A 24,257-nucleotide genomic window follows, 5' to 3' on the forward strand; every position below is an offset into this window, starting at 1 on the left:
ACCCAGTGATAAATTCAAATTGTGTTGCCTTTCAGATTTTGAACTACCATAATTAACAGCTCAACTCCATGATGTATACATTTCTTTAAAAACTAGAATAGCAACTGCTCTCACAGTCTGGCATAATTATTCCCAAGGGGGAAATATGTAATAAGAAGTTTTAAAATATTCTCGGGAACTCTTTTCTAGATCACTACTAGACAGCTTTTGAGTCACAACAGGTATGTTACCCTGTTACTAATAATACAGAGCAGCACAGTGCAGTCATCCCTCACCACCAAGGTTTTTATTCCAAAACAGTTATTTGGCTAGACGTGAACCGTTAAGATACGGGATCAATGGAGTTACAATAAAGACAATGAAAGTGACAATTTATTAATACACAGTAAGTTCTAGAAGGCATCTTTCAAAACAAAACTTGATTTCTTTTGTATTTACATTTTTTGTTTCAAGTCTTAGCAAAATGCTAAAAGGCCTGGCCTAGTCACAATTACTGACATCCTTCTGGGACACAATTTTCTGGGCCTGTGTTGAATGAGGATAAATTATCTTTTCTCTAAAATGCCACATGAACCCTCTCTATATTCCCACATGAAGAGGAATGGAAGGTAATTATTTGGTCTTTTCTTCTGTTTAGGGGAATGAACTGAACCACTCATTTTTTTAAAATCACACTTAAAAGACACATGGGCAAAAAAGTTCCCCAAAACTACTGTCTTACCGAATTTGAGAAGGGAGGTAATGTATGAAGCTTAACAGCTGGCTTCAAAAGACACCTTTCCAAAGAAATTGTACTACCTCTATTAACGTGTAAACCACCAACCAAAAAAAAATAATAAGTTACTCCATCAAACACGTTATTATCCATAAAAAAGACTTCAACATTGTACTGGAAGATCTATTTAAGCATAAATAGTACTAAGCACCAATTACTAATCTGAAGGCCTCCTCACAGGTCCAAGGGCAATGAGCAACCTCAAGAGGCAGGTGACTGCACAAGCAGTAAGCTATGGATTAAAAATTAAAAGGATTTCACATTCTTTCCAAAGTGTACTGCCCGGTGTCTGGCACACGCATGTTACAATATGACAATCTGCTCTATTTGTGAGCACCTGAGTGTATTACAGGGGATTACACATGCATATGATAGAATCTGGCTCCCGGTACAGTCAAAGGAGAACAGCATCAGCCACCAAATGTGCTGATCTTACACTGAAAAGGGTTGACTGAAAACATTTCAAGGGTAATGTAAACACAAGAATAAAGCTGTGGGTCTATTACTTAGTGATGTGGTTTTATATGCTACATACGTAGACCTCTCTTTATACAATGAATATGGACAGTGCTGCAATAAAAACTGATGACACGTCAAATTGTTCACCTGAAGAAAAACCCTATTATAGTTCAGAAAATAATGCAACCAATTTTAATTTAATCTAGATACAGGTACTTTATTTACAAATATTTAGATTAATAGCATTTTGTTACATCAAATGAAGAGTACAGCAGTCTGAATAAATCCTTCAGTCACAAAAACAATAAAACCCACTGTAACTAACTTTGGGAGTCAGGGTATTGCACCTCAACAAGCCGCAGTCTTTAGTTTGTGATTGCTACCTTATATCCCAATGGGTGGTTTGTTTGTTTTGTTTTTGTAAATATACACACACACCAGCAGGTCATGGTCCCTGGGTGAGTCCCTTGTGATGCAACAGTGTAAGCAAAATGGATCACTGTAAGTCTTTAACAGAATATACCAATCTACTCCAGAAATCTTATTTTTTAAAAAGTTAAACAAAGACAAAAATAAAAATGAATCCACAAATTAACCAAAGCCTACTTTCTGCACATTCCAGTTTTGGCTTTTATTTAACATTGACTATACAATACTCTGGTACTACCACATGTTTACAACCCAGAAAGATGTACTTTTATGTTAGTGTCTGTAAAGAGGGATTTAAAATGTGTATTTTAAACACAGCAGTTGAGCTGAGTGCATTTTCTATAGTACGCTGAGGTGTTACCTATTCTATTTCAAATAAATTCTCAATTCCCAGCCACTGAATCATAAATGCAATAAAAAAAATCAACAGAAATGAAGAACTTAATAAAACATGTTGTCCAAAAAAATAAGATTGTTTCTCTTGCTATACAGTATTAATTCAGTGGCCAAACCACCTGGTGCAAAGTAATAACTTACTTTGTATCAGCACAAGCGCTGAAACACCTTTAGAAACACTTTCCCTTTTACAAAACAATTTATGCCAACATGACATAAAACAGCCCCTCACACTGTGAACACAGGGATATCTTAAGTTATTTCACTGTAGGGTTAAAAATGCACAATTTAAAATCCCTTAACAGCAGACCTGTGGTTCTGACTGTCCAGTTCAGAATCTGACCATTCCAAGAAGATAAAGGTATAAAAGCTTAAAATGTGCAATAGTAAACCCAGCCTTTTTTCTTTTTCTATACAGTAAGGCAAGAATGCAGCCTGTAATGCAAAAACGTTTACAAAAAGAGAAAAGCAGGTTAGCACATTGTCGATTGCACAAGAACAGTTAAGAAAATCAGCAGGTAAGCAACAGTGCAAAGATGGAACAGAATCTGCTAGTGTTAATCCTCTGATGCTAGGAGCTCTTTCCAGCATAATGTCCCCAAACACTGCCAGCACCAAGGGGTGGAGCCAGTACTACTTGTGAACTGCAGTTGTGTCTATTTCTTTGTGTGAAATGGAAGGGAGTAACATGGTCACATATAGGTCATACTGTACAAACTGGTATTTTATACTGTTCCAATGCCAGTAATCAATTTATTTTCTTCATTAAAATAATATACACAGAATGTATTGTTAGTTCGATTCCTTCAAATTTTATACATATTTACTTTCTGTTAAAGAGAAAAGGATAAAATGGTATAAAAAAAGATAAAGCTATTAATTAAGCACGAGAGAGAAGATAAATGGATATTTTCCCTGTGTGAGGCTAAGACAGAAGCAAATCTCGTTAAGAAAAATGCCACCCACACAACAGGAAATTTATCCAAAACAAAACAAAAGCAGTTATAGAACCCCTTCTCTACCATCAGAAGTAATTTCACAGCAATAAACTTATTGGTTACAACAGACATACTTGAACAGTTAAGGATGGGAAGAAAGGCTTAAGATATCACCAAATTAAACCGTACAGTGAGACAAAGCCTTGCCAAAGGGAGGGTAAAAATCATGAAGTCCAGCATCAGTGCTCGGTTTAAATCATATATTGGTGACATACTTATCACGAGGACAAGGGGGAAAAAAAGTCTAGATTTACCATGCAGGAGAGATTTATTACTCTACTTGCCTTTGATAACCTGATTACATCTAGTTGTTTAGCAGTTTAGTATTGTGTTAAACTGTTTTTACAACAGAGTTTTTTCTTTTTTTTTAATTAAACCCAGTAAGATGTACAGAAGACAATGAGGCAGTAAAAAGTACTGCTTCCAACAGACAGAGGTGAAAGGTCAAATGAGGGGCCACAGCAAAGAGGTCACTAGCAGCCACAGCCTTCTCTCTGGGGTTGGGGTTCACTGGTTAGCCGGCCTCCCTGCGGGGCTGAAGGTTTGTGTTGTACACCAGACTCAGCAGCATTCAGATCCAAGCTTCCATCCTGAATGTTCTGATAGATTTTCTTGGCAGCCTCAAGGAAGGCATCTTCTACATTCTCTCCCCTAAGAGGCAATTGATAACTTTATTGGAGAACCACAGTTTTCTACAAAAGACAAGACACTGACCTTTTGCTAATCTTTAGTTAACTGCCATGATGTCTCCAACTTAACCACTGTCATCTAATAAGAGATTACCAGAACACTGAGCTAAGAGAACATGGAAAACTATTTTCCTTTTTTTTTTTTTTTTTTTTTTGAGACAGAGACTCACTCTGTCACCAGGCTGGAGTGCAGTGGCCCGATCTCAGCTCACTGCAACCTCCACCTCCCAAGTTCAAGCGATTCTCCTGCTTCAGCCTCCCGAGTAGCTGGGACTACAGGAGCACACCACCACGCCCAGCTAATTTTTGTATTTTTAGTAAAGACAGGGTTTCACCATGTTGGCCAGGGTGGTCTCGATCTCCTGACCTCGTGATCCGCCTGCCTTGGCTTCCCAAAGTGCTGGGATTACAGGTATGAGCCACCACACCCGGCCGGAAAACTACTTTCTATGGAAAGCATACATACATACGTGTACTGAAAGCCCTTTCTACAAACCCTATTTGGACAACTACATGTGTTATATGCAATCATTAAAATACTGTATGTTAATACACACCATGACAATTCAGATAGGTCATTTCTGTGATAACAGAGAGGATACTCCAAACAGAAATGAAATCTCTCTGAACATGCTGAAAAAAATTCCAAGAATAATATGGTCTGCTCAGCCAAGCATGAACTGAGCTGTTTTTAATCGGGTAATGGTGACATAATCATGCTTAGCCACGTTAACACCTCCATTCAGTTTTCTTTGGACTAATAGCACAGCTGAGACTAAACGAAAACAGGTTAGCCTCTCCTCACCACAAGAAATTTTTGGCCTAATAAATGAAGAACAATGATGGGTGTACCACAGTTCAATAGCAGACATGGAAGAACAATTAGAAAATGTTCACTATGCTTCTGAGTAGACACTATTCCCTTAAATCATGCTTTTTAATGTGATCAGAAGTATTACAGGAAGAACAGATTGACCAAGCTTGTCTGAGATGCCAAACTCAACCTCACTTGTGAAAAGTCAAACACTGTCATTTGGGAAAAGTCAAACACTTTTGAAATGTAAACAAAGTTTCATTTATTAACCTGGGTTACCAACAGGCATAATCAAGGTACAATCTTTTAAGTAACAAAAATTCATATTATTTTGAAATGTAAAAAAGGAAGCAAAGAGATGTTTGCTGTTCTTCCTGCAGTAAGCATTACACATTTATAGATAGTACTTTATATGTGTATATACATTATATACTTTTCATATATACGGTTCTACTTTGAGAAACTTGAATATAATTGAAATATCTGTATTTTGGTCACACTTACGTTTTTGCACTCGCTTCGAGGAACAATAAGCCTAAAAATAAAATTCAGACTATAATTAGGACACTTCAAACTAACTCACAAGTGCACTTCTTTAGTAACATCTGAAAAAGTTTCCCATCAGTTTTTAGTACTCCTCCCATAGTATTTTATGAAAAAGTATGTAAGTTTGAGGTGGAGAGCATCTTTATATTTGTCACTAAATAACTGTACTGCTCCAACATAAATCACACAGAAATAGAAACACATTGTTACTTCCTCATTCTTGAGATTTCTGAGTCTGCATTTAAAAAAAAAATGCAAAAAAAAACCAACAAAACTGTCAAGCCCACCTTTCCTTAAAAATTCTCCCAATTGTGACCATTAAGTCTTAAAGAAACTCACCATTTTCTTCAGCAAACTGTTTGGCTTCTTCATATGTAACATCTCTCTGTGCCTCCAAATCTGCTTTATTTCCTATGAGAATTATTACCTAATTTGTGATCAAAAGAAAGACACCTTGTAACAAAAGCAGTAATTTAAACCAACCATGCAAATTCTGAAATCCAAAAATCTTGATAGAAAAAATGACTGGGCCTAAAAAGAAAACCAAGTACTAGCAATTATCCACTAGACAGGGCTACAGATTCATGAAGTCATTACTACAAAGGACCTTAGCAATGATCTAGGTCAGGGGTTGACAAACTTTCTGTAAAGAATAAATACTATATTCTTCAGGTTTGTGGGCCTCATATGGTCTCTGTTACATGTTCGTTGCTGGGTTTTTTTGTTGTTGTTTTTAACAACCCTTTAAAAATTTAAAAATCATCCTTAGTTCACAAGCCAGTCAAAAACAGGCTGTGGGCTGAATGTGGCCCACAGGCCATACATACTTTGGTGACACCTGGTCTAGTCCAAAGATTACGATATAGCTGAGTAAGATTACTAAGGGTTCATGGACAAGCTCCAGGGGATCTGTAAATACCTTGAAATACTGTAAATACTGTAATTGTGGGCATTCCCTAGAGGAGAAGATTCATGGCTTCCATCAGGTTTTCAAACAGTTCTGAGATCCTCAAAAAGTTTGAAAGCCACTAGGTTCAACTCCTTTAGGCTATCAGTAAGGAAACTGAAGCTCAAATAAGGCAAAAGGACTTGCTGAAGGTCACTCAGTGAGTCAGTGGTAGGAGGACATTAGATCTCAGGTAGAAACCCAAACTGAGATCTTGAGACAAATACTATCCTACCCCACACTATCCCTAGAAAGGATTGAGTTTATAGTTAACAGTAACTGATAAGAGATGTCTATGTGTATACACAAGGGGCAGCTGGGAGTAGGGGTTTGGGGGCACGTATGCAGTAAGTTCAAATCCAAGGCAAAATATCACCCACCAACCTATATCCACCTTGGAACCATTCATACAAGTGAAGTTAGGCCAAAGTTAAAGGCAGCTCTGCAAAGTTGTAAGAAAAAAATATGTACCCTTGGGAAACAGCAAAGGGCTTTGGCCTTTACCTGGGGTGGGGAGGGGGGTTATGGATAAACTGTCTTTGTACATTTATGAGCTTATTTGACACCAACTGGTAAAATCCTTCCCTTTTTCCCCCTTCCAAACAGATATGGTAATCTAGATATGAACACTTTAGGAATGGATGGTTTCAACTAAAAGGCACTTCAGCCATTAACTTTTTTTCATGTAAAATTACAGCTCCTGGCTCTTCCACTTTCAAAAATGTGTGTCCATAAACCAAATAATCATTTTTATCTGAATGTAAACCTCATGCAAGGACAGTTAAGTAGTACAACAAAAGTGAGCATTCTTTAAACAGTGTGGACAAAGTGCCCACTGTGAAGGGGAAGAAACTTTCATATACTATCCATTAGTATTTTAAAAGAATAAAATAATGATACTTAAAAAGGAAATCAATTTATAAAAAATCAAGTCTGGTAAAGCCACAATGACTAGCATAGGGCCATTACAAGATAGGTACTCAAAACAAGAAATACTGCCCTGCTCCTGATTCCCTATGAATCTCCAAATAAGGCTTCTTATCTCCCTGAAAGGGAAGACATAAAGTGGCATGCTAATTACAGAGATACAAAACATGCCCACAACAAAATGGTAGAGAACACAACTTCTACACAGAAATCAAGGGCAATTCTATAGAAAATGGAGCACTTAAGAAAAACTCAAGAAATTTTTTTTCTCCTGATCTGGTTCTATTTCAAAGCACATAAATGAGGCAGGAAGGACACAGGGCGGTAAGGTTAATTTTATTATACTCCTCCACGGGCCCTCTACAATGAGTTTTGTTTTTAATATTTTACTTGAAATAGCTATAGAGTCACAGAGACTTACAAAAAATAACAGTGAGGTCCTGTGTACCCTTCACCAAACTTCCCTAATGGTAGGATGTTATGTAACTATAATACACTCTCAAAACCAGGAAACTGACATTGGTACAATCTGCAGCCCTTATTCAGATTTCAGTTTTTACACATTCTCAGGCACATGTGCGTTCGTGCATGGGTGGTTCTATGTAATTTTATCTCAGGTGCAGATCTCCATCATCACTATCAGGATACAGAACTGTTCTATCACTACAAAGAAACTGCTTCTGTGCTGCCCTCTATGTCATCACACCACTACCACCCTCCACCCCCTTTGCTAATCCCTGGCAATCACTAATCTACTCCCCATCTCTACAATTTTGTCATTTTGAGAATGTTTTCTAAATGAAATCATACAGTATGTAAACTTTTGAGATTGGCTTTTTTACTGGGTATGATGCCCTTGAGAACCAGCTCAACTGCTGCATATATAAAGAATTCATTCCTACGTACGGCTTAGTAGTACTCCACTATAGAGATGTTCCGAACTGTTTAACCATTCACCTGTCAATGGCCAGGTTGGGAAACACCTAGGTTTCCAGTTCTGGGCTACTGGAAATAAAGCTGCTATGAACACCCATCTATAGGTGTGTATGTAAACCTTGGGTTTAATGCGATAATGGAAATGAAAGTTTCAGGCACAGTCCCTAGCATGATAGGCAAACAATGTTAACTGACTCTCAATATGATTAAACCACCATTTCCTGATAAAAGCTCATCTTACCACTGATAACACAGTTCTTGAAGGAGGCCTCTACCAAATGTTGGGGGTATAAAGCCAAGTGAGACACAAGCCTTGTTCCTGAGAAACTCAAGTCACAGCTCAGTGTGTCTTTCCTCACATTGTTCCTGGCATACCCTCAACAATATCTACTGAAACTTCACTCACCCCTCAAGGACCAGCTCAAACACCACTCCTCTGTAAAGCTGCTTTCTCTCCAGACGGCACTGATCATCCTAGGCTCTCCAGCACTGTGCCAGTCCCTCTATTTCTAATTCGTGCTTCAATCTACTTTGCAGCACAGTTATCTGCATATCTGCTGGTTCTCTCCCTGCTAGACTATAAGCTCTTTGGGACCAAGGATCCATGTTTATCTTTGTATACTGCAGAGTCTAGCATGGTGGCTAGCCTTTAAAATCTCAATAAATATCATCTCAGTCTGGTTAAGAAGCTAATGTTTTAACACATATAGAATCCTTTTTATTTTTGACTGAAATTTTTATCCTTAATTCTCCTCCTGTAGTTGAAATTTTTATTGAGGTAACGCAGATTCACATGCAGTTGTAAAAAACAGTACAGAAAGATCTCTTCTACGTTTTGCCCAGTATCCTCCAATGCTAAAGTTTTATGAAATTAATGCAGATCCCTTTTAAAATCATAATTTCAGATTTCATAGTCTTCACATGAGATCACCACTACATTCATAATAGTAATGACAAACATGAACAAAAAACCTAGGTATAATAAAATGCAAAACCTGGTTTAATAAGAACTGAAAAATAACTGTTAGGTTTTCTTCAACTAATTGAAGAATACAATAAAAATTCTCTCATTCTTAGTACCTGAAGACAAAAATCTCACCAGTAAATGGCTTCCCTTTTTGGGTTAGCTTAGTTCTTAAATTTTCTGTGTAATAAGATGCCATTTAACTTACAGTATTTGGATTGGTGAGATTCCTTGCATCTGTCAACCAGCTGCTTAAGTGGTTATATGTACTTCTTCTGCAAAAATAAAAGTTTAAATTTGTGACTGCCATATAATTATAGAAAAAAAACTTAAATATTTAAAATACATATTTAATCAACATATCCTAAAATAATAATTTTGCTTTGACCAGTTACTCAGAACAGTAGTTGTGAAATACAACTGCATACTTTTCAAAAATCTAGCCAAACCTAATATTTTTAAATAAACAACTCAATATCCAACAACTTTGATAATTACAGGTCAGGAGTAAATTGTTTACTCCTAAAAGCATACCGTAAACAGACCAATAAGCAAGCAAGGAACAACACAGTAAATTGATGGAAATGCCAATGTGGAGTCAAAACTCAAATTACTTTGAAATCATACAGACTTTCAATCACAAAGCACAAAGTTGTATCAAAATGCCTAAACATGACACATTTAATGGAAGACACTTTTGCTTGTCTTTAAATTTTAATTTCATTAAAAACCAAGTCACACTATTATAAGCTGGCATACAATTCACCTTTCCTTAATAATTTAAAGAGCAAGCTAACTATAACAGCATAAAATTGACTTTGAAGACATTTGACAAGAATTCAAGTCCCCAGATATCAGTGAAAAAGTTCGTCCTAACTTTGTTCTCTTATCTATCAGGCAGCTAAATTATTCTGGAATTCTAACTGCCCAAGCAAGAGTTTAAAAACTCATAGGCTCATTTGCACTAGCCAAGTAAGCTCTAAGATAAGTAAACAAACCCAAATATTTGTAATATCATACACAGTAGAATCTACCAAAGGGGTCAAAGATAATAAAATTTTTGAGGTTAAAAATGTTTCTGATTTATAGACTCACAGAATGTTAGTCTATCTTACTCGTTTAACATGTGAGGAAACGGAAGCCCATAAAGACTTAACTGGTGTCAAAATCAGGCCTAGAACTCTTTTACAAATACCACATGTCCTTTAAGTGTTTCTAGTTTAGTCCTGTGAATATATTCCATGATCTCTAGCTGCCAGTTCTCATAGAAAATCTGTTATTCAAAGTATATAGTTCTTTCCCAATGAGAACTGAAAAGAACTCCTTAGTCAGACTTTTATTGTGTTACATCATATTATTCATAAATCACCACTTAGATGTCAAAAAAGTCATATATATCAAAATAGCCCCTTTCCCCCCAATGTTTTAGAATTTTCTAAGTAAACAATGATAAAATACAATTTTTAAAAAGCACAAGCCTTATCTGTGTTTGATATTCGTATTATTGGCATATCTTGACTTTATACAACAGGTATGTTTTACTACTTCATGCATAAACCTTAAACAAGTCCGAACATTTCTACTGACTTTGATGAACTTTAAAATTTCAAAGCTGACACAGAGAGTGAAGTACACAGAAAAGCCTAGTACCAAAATCATATAAACCATATTACTTACATGTACTATAACTTCTGCCAATGATTCTGGTAATTGTTATTAATTTAATATTCACTATAATTATAATTTTAAATCTATAAATAAATATTATTCAAATATTAATTGGTGGTACTAGTACTAAAAAAAAAGTGCTAAAATACTAGATATGTCAAAATGTTATGGCAAAACAACTGTCACGACAAGCTACGCTGTCAATTTAGAAAAGCACCCTGTAACAATGAGAGTTAATGACAAAAATAAAAAGGGACTTTTACGTTTGTAAAATGTCAAAGAATAACAGAAAAAAATTGCTGTCATGACTGCAACACCAAAGTCACTATAAAGTATCACTTTAGCGCCTGACTAAAGCCTCGGGTACTCTTTTCCAGTAACAGTTTTTATTACAATATAATGAACATATCATAAAGCTTATTCTTTTAAAGTACGTAATTTAGTTGTTTTAAGGATAGTTACAAACCTGTGCACTGATCACCACTATCTAATTCTAGAACATTTTCATCACCCCAGAGAGAAACTCTGAACTCACTTAGAAGTCACTCACTCCCATCCTCTGGCAATCCACTTTCTTTCTCTATAAATTTACCAGAATATAAATTCTCGATATTTCATAAATGAAATCATACAGTATGTGTCTCTTAGTGTCTGGTTTCTTCCACTTAGCATAATGTTTTCAAGTTTCATCTATGTTGTGGCCTGTATCAGTATTTCCTTCTTCCTTATAGCTGAGTAACATTTCATTGTATGGATATATCACAGTGTTTATCCATTCATCAGTTGATGCATGTTCTGGTTGTTCCCAGCTGAAGTACTTTTTTTGATGACTTGAATAGACACAGATTTTACCAAAAGTATTAACTATGCTTAAAAGATATGCTTAAAAGCAAAAACAATATTCTTAGCACACATCACCATACTTAAATTTTATTGAGTTTTTAATTATGTGAAGTCTTCAGAAATGCATTCCTTATAAAATCAGACAGTTCTGCGTAGGCGGCCAGGTTTATTAACAGTCTTCCCATAATACTCTTGATCATATCACAGATTGCCTGGCTATAATGAAGGGCATTAAGGCTTGTTTCCCTTTGAGGCCACCCAATTCTAGAATTTACTGAAAACTTTAGGCACTATAATTATAATTAGTCAATATCTTTATTCTAAGGCAGCATTTCCCAAAGTGTGTTCCTCAATAAAATAAGCTTAGGAAACACCAAATTAAATAAAGTCATACAGCAAAGAATTTCTTACTGCAGAACTTCCCAGAGTCTTAATATGCTAACGCACATTATGACACATCAAGAGGAAACCTTTTAAGGCATTTTCCGAAAGGAAATATGCTTTAAACTCTAATTATCACTTGGTCCCACTCGCCCATCTTTACCCCCAAGAAACAGAGTCACATTGCTTTTGACTGGCACTTTACATCAACATGAAAGGTGATCCAGTTCATTTTCTAGCTTACAGTAGACAAACAGTGCAGGGTCTAATCAAGTGGCACAGTTTTCCATGTTCTCCAAAGTCAAACCTTTATGTACAGTAGTTTTATTACTTTACATCAAGTGCTTTGGAATTCCAGAAACAGTCATGTTGAAATAAATTTAAACCTACTGCATGTAGTATTTGAAGTCATTTCTATCCATTTTAAGAGAAAAAAAAATTAGTAAATAAATACTCAAACACCTTCAGATGCAAGCATAAAGTTTTTTATAATCTACCATGCTGGACTAGCAAAACTCTTTGCTTGGCCTTCTTTTGAGAGGTGTAAACTTTAACACTAGAGACTAAATAGAGTAAGTCCCAAGAGTGAGTTGCTTGCTTTCTACTTAAAAGAACATTTTATATAAAATATTATTTCTCCTCAAATCATTCAACTGAAGCTGCTTTTCAGAACTGTATTCTTCTATTAGCTTCACCCAATAACTAACTCCCTAAATTTTTCTTCAGTCATAAAAACTTTTGGAAAATATCAATGTGTTATATCAAGTTTTACATGGCAACTTAAGAAACCATAAAAAACAAGTAAGTTCATTCACAGTCATACAATTACAAACTAAAAAAAATGCCTATCAATTTTTTTTTAAATGCCCAAAGTAGATTTATTTTCCCCATATGAAGGTTGAAAAATTATCTCTTACCTAGTGATATCATAGACCATAAGAGCTCCCGCAGCTCCTCTGTAGTAGCTCCGTGTAACAGCCCTAAATCGCTCCTGTCCTGCCGTATCCCAAATCTGCAGTTTTATTTTTTGGCCACTAACTTCGATTATTCTTGTACCAAATTCAACACCAATTGTGTGAGGACAATCAGCCATAACTGTTAAGGAGGAAAAAAAGTAATAGCCCAATTTTCAGAAAACTTCAAATTAAGCCTAGAGGGGGAAAATCCACTAAATAAGCAAATGGCTTACTAATACTTACAGGCTATAAATAGACTAAAGCTACCGCTAAAAAAAAAATTAACAAACACCCAGAAGTAAGAAGTCAGGGAAATGTGACTGTACTAGAATCGGGGTCAGCAAACTTCTAGAAAGGACCAAGCAGAAAATATTTTAAGTTTTGCAGGTCAAAAGGTCTTTGTCACAAACTACTCAACTCTGCCACTGAGGCATAAAAGCAGCCAGAGACAATATGTAAAACAGGCATGGTTGTATTCCAATAAATTTTATTCACAAAAACAGGCAGTGACTGGATTTGCCCCACTGGCCACCGTTTGCTGACCCCTCGACTAAAATAATCTGCTAAGTAAAAATAAGGATTTTAATTAATTCTTCACAATATCAACATTATACCATTTAGCCTTCTTACAATCATTATCTATAACAGATCAATCAATGGTCTTGGTACCCTAGGAGTTGTTAGTCAAACAGATTCTTATCCCAGAAAATATCAGTGTCTCAAAGAAAATCAGCATGTTTTATATATATATGCATATATTTTAGAGACAGGGTCTTGCTCTGTCACCCATGTTGGAGTGCAGTAGCACAAGCATAGCTCACTGTAACCTCGAACTTCTGGGTTCAAGCAAGCCTCCCACGTAAGTCTCCCAAAGCACTACTGGGATTACAGGCATGAGCCACCACACCTGGCTAACATATACTACTTATTATACAATGACAAGTTATATATGTCTAAGCCAATTAACAAATTTATTAGTCCTTTCCTTATAATGAGGCCACTTAAAACCTAAACCCACCATTCTCCAGTACAAGGACACAGACTTCTGGGCACTTCATAAAATGTTACATCAAACCTCTGTGGTAAGCAGCACAAAAATGTCAAAGAAATAATTTCAACTATACAGAAACACTTTCAACTATATTTAGCATATCAGTTACAACACATTGGTCCCTTCTATCACCCAAGAAAGAGTAGAAAGAATTCCATTTTAAGTATTTCAAATCTGTTATTTAACAAATGATACATGCAGCAAATTTCTCCTAATAAGACAATCAATTCCTGTAACAGAAAGTCAGAGAATAAAAAGATTAAGTTTGACATTATTTTATGTATTTTTAAAAATTATTTTAACATCAAGAAATCAAAACAAGCAAATCAGATTATATAATGTGTATAAAAATCAACCCTAAAATATGCTGGCATATTTCATTTTATCTGTACCCATTTAAAAAAAGTACAAATATAGGGAAAGGTTATATTTAAATGCATGAAGTATACTGAAAATGACACTTTCTAAAAAGTAGAAACATGGCGATAAAGAAAACTATTAATGTTTACCTCATGTATTGAACTTACATTTTTTTTCTGTAAATTGATGAAGCAAGCAAGATTTTCCTACTCCCATGTCCCCTGTTTAAAAAAAAAGAAGTTTCAGGTGGCAATTACATTTCTCAATTTTATGCAATGATCGCTATATTCCTTACCATATAACATATCACAAGTTTCTGGGACACTTAACAAATTTTTATTTTCCTACTTTATAATGATTCAAAAGTTTTCACTGTGAGACACAAATGGAATATTATTCCCAATCTTTAGCAGTGACAGAATTTGGCTGTAAATTATTACTGTTAATAAATAGCCACCAGCTGGGAAGTGCTTATTTTTTTAATGGAATTTTTTTTACTTTGAGCTGTTTCAAAATTTTATGTTTTTGTTTTCTTTTGTTTTTTTCCTTAAACTCATGCATAAAAGCAACAAATTTCAAAAACTGACAAATGGGGTAGCATGTAACAAGCAGAAATAACAAACTGAGTTCTGGAAGCTTGATTCACTAGGTCCCTGTCTTATACTTCTTGTATTATTCTATGAAAGAAAAGAATTTGCATTACATGAAAACCCCAGGAGAAAAGATGTCATCTCTGACTGTACTATAGCAATGTTAACCCTTGATGAAGGAAACATTAGAAAGGACACATTAAGTTCAACATGAAAGCAAACTGTTCTAATGTGAACAATTCATTGAAAAACGTGTACTTTCAAATGTAGTTTTATGTTTGGATAAATAGCATTAAGACTTAATTTGAGCAAAACCTTCTTGAAACTTAAGGAAAAAAACACCAATTAAGAAAAATACTATATTTTATATATATTACACAATTGATTTGGAATCAAACAATATTCTCTACCAATTTTTCCTTATAACAGAAACCCAGGGGAATCTGAGAGCTTTCACAGTATTTTAGGAATGTTTCTGCACTCCTTGAAACACTGATACTTCCTAGCATCAAAAAGCTTTCAAGCAGCCCTCAAGAACAATGAACATCACTTCACAAGGTACCCACCAGCACTGTACCACAGAAATATCCATGGCCACAATGCAAAAGCTGCATTGCTAATGCAAAAATAAATCTTATAAAAGGAGTTTTAGTTTTACAGTAAGAAAATCACTCAGTCCTGAAGTGGTACTGTTTAAGTATTAACATATAAATATTTTGTATGTTAACCTTCTTTTGGGAACAAGAGTGTAAGTTAAATAAACTTACCAATAATAATATATTTAAAGATGTAAGAGTAGTTGTATGGTGCAGTTGCCATGGTGGCACTAAAAACAAAGAAATCTCTGTTACTTCAGAAGGAAAGCATATACAAGTAATTCAAACGGATGACTGATATCCTTTAAAGGTAGAAAAGGACACTGAATACAAACAAATGTTGGTTACAGTAAGTCAAAATAAAACTGCATTTCACAAACTGATCAAATACACAAATTCTCTTGGATGAATGATGCTTACACATTCTCATGTGCTATCCACAGAAATATAAGAAACCATTTATACCACAACTCCAATATTTCACTTAATATCCACTAGAACTTAAAAGTATAATTTAAAAAAAATCCAATAAGTATTAATCTGAAAATTGTCAAACAAAAAAATCTTTATAAATTTAAGTTAAACATCACTATAGTCTCTTCTCCCCTTAAAGTCCCCTTCCCTGTTAACTGATCAAGTAAGTTACTAATGATCTACTTGTTCAGAACTCTGATATTAAACAGAATGGTATATAAAGGAACCACTTAATTTATAAACACAAAACAACGTTTTTACTCTACTTTAAATCAACAGTTAGCAGCGCAAAGAGCAATCGTATGATTTCCAAATCAATGTTGGAACTAGACTGAATCACATGAAACTGTTCTTCCTATAGATTTTTCAAGTCAAAGTTTATTGGCATTTTCATATAGCTCAACCTAATACAGGACTTGCAGATTATCACTCACACACACACACACACACACACACACACACACACATTTTTTGAAGACCAGGCTGGTCTTGGGTCTTGAACTCCTGGCCTTAAGCGTCCCTCCCATCTCAGTCTCCCAAAGTGCTAGGATTACAGGCATGAGCCACTGTGCCCAGCCAGATTAACAACATAGTAAGTGCTTCCCATACACTATTCTAGGGACTGAAAGAAATAATGTCATAAAATTGTACTTATGGTTGCAAAATTTGAAAGCTTGTGTATTAGAAGATATTTCAAAAGATCACAGCCCATTTCTTACCCTCAAATAGACTTAACCTAAAGAATTCTAATTTCTCTTCTACTTAAAAAGAAAACAAAAAACTTTCCAATTTATTCAAATGAATTATCTGAATGTGTAAGACACGTGCTAGGTCCTAGAGAGAAACAAGGGGCTGAACTGTAAAACTGGTAATAACTTTCAATAAAGTTTATTCTCAAACCAGCTTTCAGCTTAAGACAAAAATTATTTATACATATAAAGATTTCACCCATTTAAAAAAATCTGACTTACAGTATTTTTAAGCCTGGCTTTTAGTGTTTCTGTCAATGTCACATTACACAAGCCAGACATTTAATATGACTGGAGAAATTTATTTACTGAAATTATCACCTTACTATATACCATATTTCAAGCAAAAGTTCTATATAACAACATTGAACCCGTAGAAAGAATATATATTTAAAACAAGTGTATTATTATAAGGGAAGAGGAAGTTGTTAATTACAGTAAAGTATTAATCACTTCCACACACTACAGTCTTCTCACTTAGCTATCTGTATTACATTTAGTGAAAGTAGAAGCCTTGTTACCCATTCCAGTTTGGCATGTTCTAACACATTTATAATCAGTCTCCTGCATCACAGAAAACTCCCTTAACCAGTTCTTTCAGGAAAGGGAGTTTTTCTAGTTAGATTAACTGATTCTGAACATCACAACAACTTTATTCCCTTTTCCAGGCACTAGGAACTCAAAACTTTTAAGAATGAACTTGGTCCTGAGACTAAAACTGGTCTGGATTATTTACCTGATCTCTGAACCAGATGCCAAACACAAGGGGGAAAAGTAATCTCTTACATTAAAAATATTTAAAGATTATTAACTTCTTAACTTGAATTCTTCCGACTCTTCTAATCAATTTTTAATTCTTCTAAATTCTTTCCCCATTCAAACCTGGGTAAAAGTAATCACTTAGTCACCTTCAAATTACTGTCTCTTCTGTGCTCTTCTCCCTTGATTTTCCTAATTTCTTTCCCTCTTCTAACTAAAGGTTGTAGCTGTACATACTTTGCTCCTTCTATTTTATGTTAAAGCTATGACTTCTAACAATCCCAAATTTCTACTTCAAATGCTTTAAAGACTATCATAAAATTGTGACCCAATTTTAGTTGTACTAATTTGTGTACCTGCTAATTATCATACATTCATTAAATGTGAGATAACTAATTTTGAAAATGTATCTTAAAATTACAAACATTCATATAGTAGAAACTATTTCCAAATAAAAGAAATGATCACTATTTCGGATTTAATACCAGGGCTCTGTCTCACCACACCACACATTTTTCTTGCTCGTTTCTTTAAAAATTACAAATAAAAACCATAAAAGCAGAATTAAAGGAAAACTACTCAAACTTACTAATTTCAGTAAACAAAGGCAGAAAACATTTAACACTGTAGCCACCAACACTCACAACAGGTCTTCCCTTTCTTATTCTAAGAAGATACTGTCTAGATTTAAATATATTCCCATAGTTGACTGATATTAATACATTTCAGTCAAAAGTATTTGCAGTAGAATTATATTCAATACTAAATAGGCTTAATGTTGCTTTAACAAAAGATTTCTCAGTCTCATTTCTTGAACATGAAACATACTATTGTTAAGGTGAGGAATATATTTTTACCTAACTTTGGAAGGGAAAAAATTCTTCCCCTATTATTTAACAGTACTTTTGCTTTACTTAGAGAACTCTTGAGTCTAAAAAAAAGGACAGGAAATGCTGGTCTGGTTCAAACTCTGAAAACATGAGCCCACTTAACATTACAATCCCCATAAATGAAAAAAAAAATCCTGGTAATATTCTATAACTTGTATACAACTACCGGGACAATTAAAATTCACTTTATTCCACATTTTACAGAAAGTATTCGAATCAAGTTCATATGTAAGTAAAAGATCTTTATTGCCTTTAAAGGAAAAAAAGTACCACATATTTAGACAACAGGCATTTAACACATAATCAACAATTTGCAAACTAATAAGAAATACAATTGTGAGTTACTATTTATTGGGTACTTGACATATGCCGGGCAATGTGCTAAATATTTTACATACAATTTCATTTAATCCTTACTACTATCCTATAACATAGTTAATTATTATCCTCATTTTACAGATGAGGACACAGACTCAAGAGGTAACATGCCCAGGTCACACAGCCAAGTCTGTACTGAACCTAGGACTGTTTTAACTACAGAGATCCCCTCTTAACCACCACACCATCCTGCCCTCTCCACCGTCGTGCCTCCTCCACATGGTTATCAGCTGTACCATGTAGCTCTGCAGTATTCACTCGCTTAATTATAATTTAATATTCTGAATAAGATACATGAATTACATTCAGAGGATGCACTGCAGTCAGAATTTATAGATATAAATGACTGGTAATACTAGTAATACTAACTTATAATACTATAATTCATTTACTTAGAAAAAGTTTCTTGAGAACACTTGAGAGTAAACCATGTAATGATCTATACTACTTTTTATAATTCTTACTTAATTCTCACAACTCTGCAGAGTCATTATCATTATGTCCATGCAAAAAATTAAAGAAACTGAGGTTTGGAGAAATTCACTCATTTGGCCAATGTTATAAAGTTTGTAAATGGTAGACCTAGAACTTGAACCCAGGCCTGATTCCAAAGACCATGATTTTCTCTAAGGTATTATTAGCTTATTTCAGGTATGTACAGGTAGACTGATAAAATAAAAATCAGAGAAAGAGGAAGGATATTAGTGCATGTAAAATTTAGCTATAAACTACCCTTGCTGCCAAGAGAAATATTTACTAAATGCATAGTAAACACTAACAACTGTGCCATGTATTCAACTGACTCCTTAAAAATATTAATATGCTTAATATTGCTTTAATAAAGGATTTCTCAACCTCATCTCCTGAACATGAAACATACCAGTTTTCACCACTGGGGAAACATACCATTTCACCACTGTGAAAATATACCATTTTTCACCACCATTTTCACCACTGTTAAGGTGAAAAATGTATTTTAAAATGGGGTACGCCATCTTGTAAAATTCTGCATATTTCTTTTACTCAACAAAATGATAGACACATTTTCATGTCAGTACATTTAGATCTAAGTGGTTACTGAACAAATATTAAACACTAATTATTGTTGTGACAAAAATAGAATGCATGGTTTCTATTTACTGAATCAGACACCTTTCTAAGATTACACAGACATATAAACGACTAGTTTTGAAACATGTAGGTACAGATGTGAAGGTATACACTTTCATACATACTGCTTGTGGAAATGTGCCAACATTTTGGAAAGTAATCAGTATGTTTAAAAATCTTAACAATAATCCAAATCATCCTTTGGCCCAGAAAGTATCCTACATATACAAAAGCTTCAGCCCATAAGGCTACAGGTATTAGTGCATTTAATGCACCATTTTTACAGCAAAAAACTGGAAATAATCAGCAAAGAAATGACTGAATAAAGTACATCTATAATACAAAATAATATCCATGTAGTTTAGAAACCATTTTGATTGATATGCATTAACCTGGAAATACATCCATGATTTTGTTAAGTGAAAAAACACATGTTGCAGAGTTTTATGCAACAGCATACCCCACTTTCAAACACACACACACACACACACACACTCAACCCTATATTCATATAATATGGAATACACACCAAATTGTGAAAAATACATGGACAGGAGAAACAGGGAATAGAGAAATTATTAACTTTTCTTTATATATCCCTGCACTGACTTACTATAATGAATTAAAAATAAAATTTTCTCTACCGATAAATATTTCAAAAGCCCTTTTCTATTTTAATACAGGTTAAAGAATACCCAAACAAAAACAAACAAATCTCCCACTCATAATATTCCCAACATTATTTCCGCATTTACTGATAATAAGAGGAATATCTTATGAAGCCAATAATACGATTGGGTTCAAAATAGAAAAACCAACACTCAATAGTAGAGGGCATATTTTTGGGAGTTTTTTAATAGCTTAACTACTTACTGTTTGCTCTGATTTTAAAAACTGTTATACAGCTATTCTACTCCTTAGAACCTATGATGTTACTGTATAATTTTTACATAGCTGATCCAAGACATAACAAGGGAAAAGCAACCCATTAAATATTCCAGGTAATTTAATTCTTATCCTTGTTATTTCCACTGATAAGTTTTTTGTTTGTTTTTTAACATGCACGACGTTTTGTTAAAAATACCAGAGCTGAGATGGACTGCTTCTGTAGTTCCAACATAAACATATCTGTTAAGTATCTACTAAGCACAAAGCATTGTGCCAGGCTTTAGCAAGACAGCAATGATCAAAAAAGACAACACTGTCTCTGCCTTCGTGGAACTCAACAACAGAAGCATGCTGACTTGCTTTAGAGGCCCACTAAAATGGACCACTACTACCTGATTTGTCAGTCAGGCGGATAAAACTTCTGTAGTTAATCTAATAATCTAATCTAATAAAAATGAGTGGTCAATTTCCTCAACAGTAGTACAAGTAGCCCACCCACTTAAAAAAAAAACCTTACTTTTGACAATATACTTAATGTCACTTTTATATAAATAATGTGAATCATTTTTAAAAGCTGGATTGCTTAATGTGGCAAAAGTAACTTTGATGGTCTTCTATATACAGGAAATAAAGTATTCTAATACTGGACCTCTGTTTACAGAAAGAAAGCACTTAACAACCAAAAAGCCAAAAAAAACCCCTGCACTTACTGCTCAAGTTAAAAGGATTAATAGTGAAAATTTTACTACCGATATTGTGTCTGAGATTTGCTTCAAAATAATTTGGCAAGGAGGAGGCAAGTGTATATTGATGAAGCAAGACTGATCACTGTTGACACTGGCTGATAGGTATATGAATGCTCAGTATGCTACCTGATTTTGTATATATTTAAAATTGTCTAGAATAAGAAGCTTTTTAAAAGTCAAGTACAGTACCTCTAATACTTCTATTTGTCAAACTGTTGTCTTTAGCCATGCCTGGCATTTTTTACCACATAAAAATGTTTCAAGCCTCTTTTAAAAAACATGAAACATCTCTCAATAGCCCAAGTTTTCACATTTTATTTACCTTAATCAAGTTTCCTCCACTAGCACAATATCTTACTGTGACTATGCAAAGATATTTGATATTGATAAAAATGAACACTCCAAATTCTGTTGCAAAGTTGAAGTATGCAACAATGATAAAGTTTAACTGTAATACAAAAAAAGCAACAACTTTTTAAGATGTAGCTTTAATTTCAAGGGATTTTTTAATAGCTATTATAATCTAAGGTTTTACGTCTTTACAATAACTGCCATTTATTGAGGGCCTAACACATGCCAGCTACTTTATAAACAGTCTCTAATCCTAAAAACTCATTTTTCAGATAAGGAAACCGAAGTGATCTACCCGTGGTCATACTACTACTAAATGGAGAGCTAGAATTAAGGCCCAGGTTTAACTCTACATGTAGCTCTCCAAAGCTATACTCCTCTCTCATTCATTCAAAAGATATTAAACACCCACTATGTGCCTGGCACTGTTACAGGCACTGATTTACTATATGCCAAGCAATGTGCTAAGGGCTTTCTTTAAACCCCATTTAATCCTAGCAACAACTCTAAGATGCAGGTCCAATTATCCCCTTTATAGATAAGGACACTGAGTCCGAAAGGTTAAGTAACTTGCTTAAGATCACTTAACTAGGAAGTGGCAGTACTGGAGGGAGAACCCTTGACAGTATGACTCCAAAACTCTTAACCACGACATACCTCTAGGCATGATCAAATAAAACTGCCTAAACAGAACTTGGAAGAAAAAATTTGGAAAGGCTTGGGGGAATAAAGGGGTAGGAGCTGGATTACTGCAAGGTCAAGTTTGTCTTCAACAATCAAATCTAAATAAAAGGCAGTTGTTCCTCTACAATATTTACCTTAGAAAAATAAAAGAATTTTTTAAAGGCAGTTGGGATAGTAACGAAATGAGCAGTAAACTTTGCAAGAGTTCAAATCTGGGCTCTGACACTTGCTGTGGGGTCACCAGGAAGGCACCTGTCCTCTTGGAACCCGTTTCTTCTTCATATATGAAACTGAAATCCTGGCATCTCTCCTTTGGGGTTTGTAAGCATGAGGATTTGCCAGTGTAGTGGTTGACTTTATGGACTTTAGGTCATAAAAGGGTAATCAGCTGTCATCCAATGCGAACACAGTAAAAAAGGAATAAAGTTGTAACTACATTATAAATGGTCATGTCTGTAACCCTAGCCTAATTTTTGAATGTAGTACAGAAACCACCAGCCACAGTGTGAGCCGAAGCCAGTTTGTAATGTACCATCAACAGCCAGACACACATCACAACTTTAGGCCTCAGTTTCCTCACTTATGAAGTGGAGACAACTTATCTCCGAGGGCTACGCGGGGCAAGATAAATAGGTACAAAAATACATAAATATGTACCTGGCCCACAGTTAAAACGCTTAAAACACTCCAGCTCTGTCGTCTTCTCTTAGATTCTAGAAATGCCACAACTTTCTCTTATTTCTAGATGCTCTGTAGGTTCAGGGCCGTAGAGGCTGTCCACGGGCCTCACAGGAACGCACCAAAACCAGGACATCGCAAGCACAGGCGCACAGACCCAGACCCCGGCCCCGGCCCGGCCCGGCTGCAGGGCCGGGCTCCCCACATCGACAAGGACACCGGAGCTGCCCCGAGACGCCAAGAGGGCTGCGAAGAGCTGCCTTTGTACTCAGAGCCAGACGCGGCCTACGGGACGGGACCGCCACGTCTGGGGCTTGCGGGCTGCAGGGCGGCGCGGCACGCGTGGGTACACCCTGCGGGGGCGGGCTGCGGCCGCGGGGAACAGCGGCGAGAGGGGGGCCCGCGGGAGATGCGGTCCTGCCCAGCCGCGCCGAGAAGGCGGGGAAGGCGAGGCCGGAACACACCCTTCCCTGCACGCCTCGGAGCGCCCCGCCGGTTGGGGAGGGCAGGAGGCTCAGGCCGGAGCCGCGCAGGGGACACCTCCGCCCCCGCCCAGGAGTCCTGTCAGGCCGGCGCCGCGGCGCTCACCGCCGACCCACGGGCTAGCCACGGCCTGACGGGGCCTGGCCCCGGGGCGCCGCCCGCCTGCGGCCCAGTCTCCACCGTCCCCACACACGCCCCTCTGAAGAACCCGGCGCGAGGAGGTATCAGCCGGCCGGACACTACGGAAGGCCCGGGTTACCTGGGGGGTTGCTGGTGGCTGGGCAGCTTTCCGGGCGGGAGGGGGGCGTCAGGACCAGGAACAGGAGTGCGGACGCAGCGGGAGAGGGGGCGGGGGCGGTCGACCGAGGCGCCGGCAGGTACACTGGCAGGCCGAGAGGTGCAGACGCGCCGGCAGCAGTAGCGGCAGTAGCAGTGGCAGCGGTGACTGCTCCTGTGCTCCCTCAGTATCTTCCTCGGGCTGGTCCAAGATGGCGGCGCTCCCTGCACAGGGTTTCCTGTCACCCTCGCAATGGGCCGGACCACAAAAGAAGGGGGAGAAGATGCGCGCGCAGCTGGCGGAGCCCGGAAGAGGGTGGCTGAGGCCAGCCCGCTAGCCACGCCCCTTCCTCAGCCCTCACCTCTGGACTTGTCGCGCCGCCGCTGAGGCCCGCCCCACGGGCGCTCGCGCCCGGAGGGAAGGTGGAAAGCGCGTATGCGCAAGCGCAGTCGCGTGTCCTCGCCTC

At 36.6% G+C, this 24,257-nt stretch overlaps 2 protein-coding genes across 3 annotated transcripts in view, besides 5 other annotated features; one reads left to right on the forward strand and one right to left on the reverse strand.

The window, feature by feature from the left end:
* Positions 1–267: 267 nt before the first annotated feature.
* Positions 268–24,004, reverse strand: RAB14 (RAB14, member RAS oncogene family). Its single transcript, NM_016322.4, has 8 exons — positions 23,774–24,004; positions 15,496–15,554; positions 14,306–14,359; positions 12,689–12,866; positions 9,088–9,154; positions 5,446–5,533; positions 5,065–5,095; positions 268–3,708 (listed from the first exon to the last, which is right to left on the reverse strand). The coding sequence occupies exons 2-8, from the start codon at positions 15,545–15,547 to the stop codon at positions 3,531–3,533; spliced, it is 648 nt and encodes a 215-aa protein (NP_057406.2). The 5' UTR covers positions 15,548–15,554; positions 23,774–24,004; the 3' UTR covers positions 268–3,530.
* Positions 23,186–23,435: a silencer, noted in NCBI's record as "silent region_20231". NCBI's record gives its function as "represses an Ori minimal core promoter by ATAC-STARR-seq in GM12878 lymphoblastoid cells {active_cell/tissue: GM12878}" and the evidence as "EXISTENCE:reporter gene assay evidence [ECO:0000049][PMID:35858748]".
* Positions 23,456–23,925: a silencer, noted in NCBI's record as "silent region_20232". NCBI's record gives its function as "represses an Ori minimal core promoter by ATAC-STARR-seq in GM12878 lymphoblastoid cells {active_cell/tissue: GM12878}" and the evidence as "EXISTENCE:reporter gene assay evidence [ECO:0000049][PMID:35858748]".
* Positions 23,456–24,155: a biological region, named in NCBI's record as "H3K27ac hESC enhancer GRCh37_chr9:123963761-123964260".
* Positions 23,618–24,117: an enhancer, noted in NCBI's record as "H3K27ac hESC enhancer chr9:123963761-123964260 (GRCh37/hg19 assembly coordinates)". NCBI's record gives its function as "activates a minimal SCP1, AML or CMV promoter by ChIP-STARR-seq in primed H9 embryonic stem cells {active_cell/tissue: H9 hESC(primed)}" and the evidence as "EXISTENCE:reporter gene assay evidence [ECO:0000049][PMID:30033119]".
* The window catches only part of GSN (gelsolin), a 131,360-nt gene continuing 130,720 nt past the window's right edge, over positions 23,618–24,257 (forward strand). For both annotated transcript variants that reach the window (NM_001353054.1, NM_001353053.1), the window contains exon 1: positions 23,618–23,735. The gene's annotated coding sequence lies outside the window, so the exon portion shown is untranslated. The remainder of the gene's footprint in view (positions 23,736–24,257) is intronic.
* Positions 23,936–24,155: an enhancer, noted in NCBI's record as "active region_28918". NCBI's record gives its function as "activates an Ori minimal core promoter by ATAC-STARR-seq in GM12878 lymphoblastoid cells {active_cell/tissue: GM12878}" and the evidence as "EXISTENCE:reporter gene assay evidence [ECO:0000049][PMID:35858748]".

The sequence above is a fragment of the Homo sapiens genome, chromosome 9 (assembly GCF_000001405.40).
Source record: "Homo sapiens chromosome 9, GRCh38.p14 Primary Assembly".
NCBI classification, from domain to species: Eukaryota; Metazoa; Chordata; class Mammalia; order Primates; family Hominidae; genus Homo; species Homo sapiens.

What these genes read in the sequence shown, in the direction of transcription:
- RAB14 (NM_016322.4), bottom strand. Translation starts at nt 15,547, where the DNA reads ATGGCAACTGCACCATACAACTACTCTTACATCTTTAAATATATTATT. An exon ending in ATGGTCTATGATATCACTAG is followed by an intron (nt 9,155 to 12,688) that starts GTAAGAGATAAT and finishes TTATTTTTGCAG; the next exon opens with AAGAAGTACATATAACCACT. An exon ending in CTCGAAGCGAGTGCAAAAAC is followed by an intron (nt 3,709 to 5,064) that starts GTAAGTGTGACC and finishes ATTGCCTCTTAG; the next exon opens with GGGAGAGAATGTAGAAGATG.